The sequence below is a fragment of the Homo sapiens genome, chromosome 8 (genome assembly GCF_000001405.40).
Source record: "Homo sapiens chromosome 8, GRCh38.p14 Primary Assembly".
Classification (NCBI taxonomy): domain Eukaryota; kingdom Metazoa; phylum Chordata; class Mammalia; order Primates; family Hominidae; genus Homo; species Homo sapiens.
This window is the reverse complement of record NC_000008.11, coordinates 114,241,078-114,248,237: the sequence shown is the minus strand read 5'-3', so window position 1 is coordinate 114,248,237 and position 7,160 is coordinate 114,241,078. Positions and strand designations below refer to the sequence as shown.

Below are 7,160 nucleotides of genomic sequence, written 5' to 3'. Positions count from 1 at the left end.
TAAACACAAAACAAAGATAAAAATAGATTGATTTAGTAATAGTATAGAATGAGTGACATAATACACAGAAAAATAAATTTTGATTACTTTCTACATGTTACTATATACGGTGAACCCAGAAAATCTGAGACAGGTCTCAGTTAATTTAGAATGTTTATTTTGCCAAGGTTAAGGACGTACCGGTGAGAGCCTCAGAATGATCTTGAAGACAGCCCAAGGTGGTCAGGGCGCAGCTTGGTTTTATATACTTTAGGGAGACATGAGACATCAATCAGTATATGTAAGAAGTACATTGGTTCCGTCTGGAAAGGCAGGACAACTTGAAGCAAAGGCAGGAAGACTGGAAGCAGAAGGGAACTTCCAGGTCACAGATAAGTGAGACACAAATTCTTTTGAGTTTCTGATTAGCCTTTCCAAAGGAGGAAATCAGATACGCATCTATCTCAGTGAGCAGAGGGTTAACTTTGAATAGAATGAGGCAGGTTTGTCTTAAGCAGCTTCCAGCTTGAGTTTTCCTTAGTGATTTTGGGGGCCCAAGATATCTTCCTTTCACAATAATTACATCTAGATAGATTAAATAAGCAGTCATAAAAGGGGATATCATAAAGCTAATAGAAAAAAATGTAGAATAATATTTTTGTGACCTAAATGTGGGGAGGGACTTCATATAAAAGCCTTACAAGAATATGTCAAGGCAAATATATTATCTGTGTTTGATGGTAGAAAAGTTAATAATTTTTGTGCAATATAGAGACCACAGACAAAATCAGGAAAAACAAAACAGGATGGGAAAGATACTTGTTATTTCAAAGGCGCCAGTCTGGGCTGTGTGTGGTGGCTCACACCTGTAATCTCCGCATTTTAGGAAGCCAAGTTGAGAGGATCACTTCAGCCCAGGAGTTCAAGACCAGCCCGGACAACAGGATGAAACCCTGTCTCTATTAAAAATAAGAATAAAAACTTAACCAGGTGTGGTGGCATGTGCCTGTAATCTCAGCTACTAGGGAGGCTCAGGTGGGAAAATTGCTTGAACCTAGGAGGTCAAGGCTGCAGTGAGCTGTGATTGTGCCACTGCACTTCAGCTTGGGCAACAGAGTGAGGCCCTATTACAAAATAAAATGGAGTTACAAATTTATAACAATGACAAGTTACTTTCACACGCGTCTGTGTGAAGAGAGCACCAAACAGGTTTTGTGTGAGCAATAAAGCTTTTAATCACCTGGGTGCAGGTGGGCTGAGTCCGAAAAGAGAGTCAGCAAAGGGAGATAGGGGTGGGGCCGTTTTATAGGATTTGAGTAGGTAAAGGAAAATTACAGTCAAAGGGGGGTTGTTCTCTGGCGGGCAGGAGTGGGGGTCACAAGGTGCTCACTGGGGGTGCTTTTTGAGCCAGGATGAGCCAGTAAAATGACTTTTACAAGGTAATGTCATCAGTTAAGGCAAGGAACGGCCATTTACACTTCTTTTGTGGTGGAATGTCATCAGTTAAGGTGGGGCAGGGCATATTCACTTCTTTTGTGATTCTTCAGTTACTTCAGGCCATCTGGGCCTATATGTGCAAGTCACAGGGGATGCGATGGCTTGGCTTGGGCTCAGAGGCCTGACATTCCTGCCTTCTTATATTAATAAGAAAAATAAAACAAAATAGTGATGAAGTTTTGGGGCGGCGAAAATTTTTGGGGGGTGGTATGGAGAGAGAATGGGCGATGTTTCTCAGGGCTGCTTCAAGTGGGATTGGGGCAGCGTGGGAACCTAGAGTGGGAGAGATTAAGCTGAGGGGAGGTCTTGTGGTAAGGGGTGATATTGTGGGGTTGTTAGAAGAAACATTTGTCCTATAGAATGATTGCTGATGGCCTAGATACGGTTTGGGATGAATTGAGAAACTAAATGGAATAACAGAAGGAGAAAAACAGGTATAAAAAGTCTAAGAATTGGGACGACTCAGGATATCTGATTAGAGAGTGCCTAAGGAGATTCAGCATAGTCCTGCCAGCAAAGATTATTTATTTACTTCAAGAGTTAAGAGTGGCAGTTTGGGGATAGCACCAGGAGATATCAGCTGTGATGGCTTGGAAAAACAGTGTAAACCAGCAGTGTAAACAAGAGCAGGGCATGTATGAGTAGTTGAGAACGGTGAATAGGAGTATGACTAGACAGAAGATAGCAGGGAAGACAAGTTTTTTAGGGGCACAGTCTAAGTTGGTCTGGTGTCTGGAATGAGACCGGGGCCTAATAAAAAGGAGCATCTATACAGGAGCTCCAATGGGCTGTACCCTGTAGCATTCCGAGGACAGGCCTGAATTCTGAGAAGGGAAAGTGGTAAAAGTATTGTCCAGTCCTTTTTAAGTTGGTGGCTAAGCTTGGTGAGGTGTGTTTTTAAAGATCTTTAGTCCATTCTACTTTTCTTGAAGACGGAGGACCATAAGGGATATAAAGGTTTCACTGAATACTAAGAGCCTGAAAAACTGCTTGGCTGTTTTGACTAATAAAGGCTCGTCTGTTATCAGACTATATTGAGGTGGGAAGGCTAAACTGAGGAATTATGTCTGACAGAAGGGAAGAAATGACTGCGGTGGCCTTCTCAGACCCTGTAGGAAAGACCTCTACCTATCCAGTGAAAGTATCTACCTAGACTAAGAGGTATTTTAGTTATCTGACTCAGGGCATGTTGAGTAAAGCTAATTTGCCAGTCCTGGGTGGGGCAAATCCTCGAACTTGATGTGTAGGGAAGGGAGGGGGCCTGAATAATCCCTGAGGAGTAGTAGAATAGCAGATGGAACACTAAGAAGTTATTTCCTTGAGAATAGATTTCCACGATGGAAAGGAAATGAGAGGTTCTAAGAGGCTGGCTAGTGGCTTGTACTATAGTATAACCTGCCTTTGCTGGTGTGTGGCGATTAGGCCTGGTGGAACCGCCATCAATAAATCAAGCGTGATCAGGGTGAGGAACAGGAAAGAAGGAAATTTGGGGAAATGGGGTGAATGTCAGGTGGATCAGAGAGATACAGTCATGGGGGTCAGGTGTGGTATCAGGAATAATGTGGGAGGCCGGATTGAAGTGCGGGCCAGGAACAACAGTAATTGTGGGAGACTCAACAAAGAGTGAGTACAGCTGAAGGAGCCGGGGAGCAGAAAGTATATGCATCAGGTATGAGGAAGAAAATAGATTTTGGAAGTTATGAGAACTGCAGAGAGTGAGTTGAGCATAGTTTGTGATTTTGAGGGCCTCTAAAAGTATTAAAGCAGCGGCAGCTGCTGCACACAGACATGAGGGCTAGGCTAAAACAGTAAGGTCAAGTTGTTTGAACACAAAGGCTACAGGTTGTGGTCCTGGCTCATGTGTAAGAATTCTGACCACGCTAACCATGCCTAGGAAGGAAAGGAGTTGTTTTGTAGAAGGGGCTTGGGTTTGAGAGATCAGTCGGACACGATTGGCAGGGAGAGCATGTGTGTTTTTATGAGAATTATGCCGAGATAGGTAACAGATGAGGATGAAATTTGGGCTTGATTGAAGTAATGGGGGCTGTCTGTGAAGCTTTGCAGCAGTACAGCCTAGGTAATTTGCTGAGCTTGATGGGTGTCAGGGTCAGTCCAAGTGAAAGCAAAGAGAGGCTGGGATTAAGGGTGCAAAGGAATAGTAAAGAAAGCATGTTTGAGATCTAGAACAGAATAATGGGTTGTAGAGGCAGGTATTGAGGATAGGAGAGTATATGGGTTTGGCACCACGGGGGGGATAGGCAAAACAATTTGGTTGATAAGGCGCAGATCCTGAACTAACTTGTAAGGCTTGTCTGGTTTTAGGACAGGTAAAATGGGGGAATTGTAAGGAGAGTTTATAGGCTTTAAAAGGCCATGCTGTAGCAGGCGAGTAATAACAGGCTTTAATCTTTTTAAAGCGTGCTGCGGGATGGGATATTGGCGTTGCGTGGGGTAAGGGTGATTAGGTTTTAATGAGACGGTAAGGGGTGCATGATCGGTCGCCAAGGAGGGAGTAGAGGTATCTTATACTTGTGGGTTAAGGTGGGGGGATACAAGAGGAGGATGCAAAGGAGGCTTTGGATAGGGAAGAAGGGCGGCAATGAGATATAGCTGTAGTCCAGGAATAGTCAGGGAAGCAGATAATTTAGTTAAAGTGTCTCAGCCTAATAAGGGAACTGGGCAGGTGGGGATAACTAAAAAGGAGTGCTTAAAAGAGTGTTGTCTAAGTTGGCAGCAGAGTTGGGGAGTTTTAAGAGGTTTAGAAGCCTGGCCGTCAATACCCACAACAGTTATGGAGGCAAGGGAAACAGGCCCTTGAAAAGAAGGTAATGTGGAGTGGGTAGGCTCCGTATTGATTAAGAAGGGGACGGACTTACCTTCCACTGTGAGAGTTACCTGAAGCTCGGCATCCGTGATGGTCTACGTGGCTTCTGAGGCGATCGGGCAGCATCAGTCTTCAGCCGCTAAGCCGAGAAGATCTGGGAAGGAGTCAGTCAGAGAGCCTTGGGCCAGAGTTCCAGGGGCTCTGGGAGTGGCTGCCAGGTGAGTTGAACAGTCCGATTTTCCATGGGGTCCCACACAGATGGGACGCGGCTTAGGAGGAATCCCAGGCTGCCAGCATTCCTTGGCCCAGTGGCCAGATTTCCGGCACGTGTCGCAAGCTCCTGGGGGAGGAGGTTCTGGAGGAACGCCTGGCTGCTGCAGTTGAGGCATTTGGAAGTTCTTATGTGCTGGAGATGTGGCTGGGGTTTGTCTCAAAGTGGAGGTAAGGAATTGCAACTTTTTTCTATTATTGTACACCTTGAAGGCAAGGTTAATTAAATCCTGTTGTGGGGTTTGAGGGCCGGAATTTAATTTTTGGAGTTTTATTTAATGTCGGGAGCAGATTGGGTAATAAAATGTATTTTGAGAATAAGACGGCCTTTTGACCTTTTAGGGTCTAGGGCTGTGAAGTGTCTCGGGGTTGCTGCCAAACAAGTCATGAACTGGGCTGGATTTTTATATTCGATGAAAAAGAGCCTAAACGCTATCTGATTTGGGATAAAGAAAAAGGAGCATTAACCTTGACTATGCCTTTAGCTCCAGCCACCTTTTTAAGAGTAAATTGCTGGGCAGGAGGGAGAGGGCCAGTCACGGAACGAAACTGTAAGCAGCACCAGGTGTGAGGAGGGGAGGTGATAAGGAAAAATTCAAAGTGCCATTTTCTGGCTATTTGGAACTACTGTCGAGTTTGTATTGGGGTCAAGCGGCATTGCAGAAGAAAATAAGGCATTTAGGTTTTAGGTCAGGTGTGAGTTGAAGAGGTTTTAAGTATTTGAGAACACAGGCCAAGGGAGTAGAAGGAGGAATGGAGGGTGGAAGGTTGCCCGTAATGAAGGAAGCAAGCCTAGAGAAAAGAGAGAGTAGAGAAACAGAGGGAAGGGGTTCGGGGGTTCTTACCTTCCAGAAAAGGGGTTGGGGCGCAGAGATAAGAGGTCGGGGCGTGGAAATAAGGGATGGGGCACAGAAATAAGGGGTCGGGGCACGGAAATAAGGGGTCAGGGCATGGAAATAAGGGGTCGGGGCACGGAAATAAGGGATTGGGGCACAGAGATACGAGGTTGGGGTACTTGCTCCTCCTCTAGAAAAGCGGGACTTGCTGCTAGGAGTGAAGGAGAAGGGGTTGAGGGGTACTTGCCCCTCTCCCAGAAAAGCAGAGGAGGGGTAGAGACAAGGAGAGAAGGGGTTGGTGTACTTGCCCCTTTCCCAAAAAAGCAGGACTTGCCGCTAAGGGTGAAGGACCATGGCAGGCATCCCTGCGTGGTCTGACACATTTGAAACGTGGGTCAATAATCAGAGAGGTGGCCCTGCGATGATTAAACACCAAGGGAAGGCTGCCTTCCTAGTCCGTGACCGGCGCCGGAGTTTTGGGTCCATGGATAAAACGTGTCTCCTTTGTCTCTCCCAGAAAATGAAAGGAATTGAAATTAAGAGAAGGGAGAGATTGAAGAGTGGAAAGGAGAAAGTGGTTGAGGGACAGTGAGAGAGGCTGGAGAAGAGAGTAAGAAGAGGCTGCTTACCTGATTTAAAATTGGTGAGATGTTCTTTGGGCTGGTCGGTCTGTGGACCTGAGGTCGTAGGTTCATCTTTCTCATGGAGCAAAGAACAGGAGGACAGGGGATTGATCTCCCAAGGGAGGTCCCCCGATCCGAGTCACGGCACCAAATTTCATGCACGTCCGTGTGAAGAGACCACCAAACAGGCTTTGTGTGAGCAATAAAGCTGTTTATTTCACCTGGGTGCAGGTGGGCTGAGTCCGAAAAGAGAGTCAGCAAAGGGAGATAGGGGTGGGGCCGTTTTATAGGATTTGGGTAGGTAAAGGAAAGTTACAGTCAAAGGGGGTTTGTTCTCTGGCGGGCAGGAGTGGGGGTCGCAAGGTGCTCAGTGGGGGTGCTTTTTGAGCCAGGATGAGCCAGGAAAAGGACTTTCCCAAGGTAATGTCATCTCTTGAGGCAAGGAATGGCCATTTACACTTCTTTTGTGGTGGAATGTCATCAGTTAAGGTGGGGCAGGTCATATTCACTTCTTTTGTGATTCTTCAGTTACTTCAGGCCATCTGGGCGTATACGTGCAAGTCACAGGGGATGCGATGGCTTGGCTTGGGCTCAGAGGCCTGACAGTTACCCCAATAGGAGATAAAATGAACAAGTATGAAAAGTAATTTAAAGAAGAGAGAACAAAAAGCTAACGTAAACACCAAAATATGCTAAAATTGTTAGTAATCAGATAAGTACAAATTTTAAAAATAATAAGCTATCATTTTAAAAATAGCAAGCTGGGTAATGGAAAGTATTAGGGATGTGAAGTTGAAGGACTCCTCATGCGGTACTGGAGGGTGTGCATGTTTTAACATAGTATTACTTGTGGTAGTAGAAAGTTGGAAGCAAGCTGGGTGTTCATCTCTGAAAAATGGGTACTAAAATATGGTGGACTATCACCAAGACAGCCATAGCACTTCCCCTACATTGACTAAACTTTAAACAAATTTTCCCTGATGAAAGCCACCTTTTCTCCTTTTTCTTAGATTGTTTGCTTTAGAAAACTTGCAATTATAAGTTTTTTCCTCTGTTGCTGTAAGATACAAGTCGTATCCCAGAGTCCTGCCAATTTTACCACCCGGAAATGCTTTTCTTAGGGAACTGGGA

At 45.3% G+C, this 7,160-nt stretch overlaps 2 annotated features.

The window, feature by feature from the left end:
• Positions 631 to 1,569: an enhancer, noted in NCBI's record as "OCT4-NANOG-H3K27ac hESC enhancer chr8:115258898-115259836 (GRCh37/hg19 assembly coordinates)". NCBI's record gives its function as "activates a minimal SCP1, AML or CMV promoter by ChIP-STARR-seq in naive H9 embryonic stem cells {active_cell/tissue: H9 hESC(naive)}" and the evidence as "EXISTENCE:reporter gene assay evidence [ECO:0000049][PMID:30033119]".
• Positions 5,977 to 6,743: an enhancer, noted in NCBI's record as "OCT4-NANOG-H3K27ac hESC enhancer chr8:115253724-115254490 (GRCh37/hg19 assembly coordinates)". NCBI's record gives its function as "activates a minimal SCP1, AML or CMV promoter by ChIP-STARR-seq in primed H9 embryonic stem cells {active_cell/tissue: H9 hESC(primed)}" and the evidence as "EXISTENCE:reporter gene assay evidence [ECO:0000049][PMID:30033119]".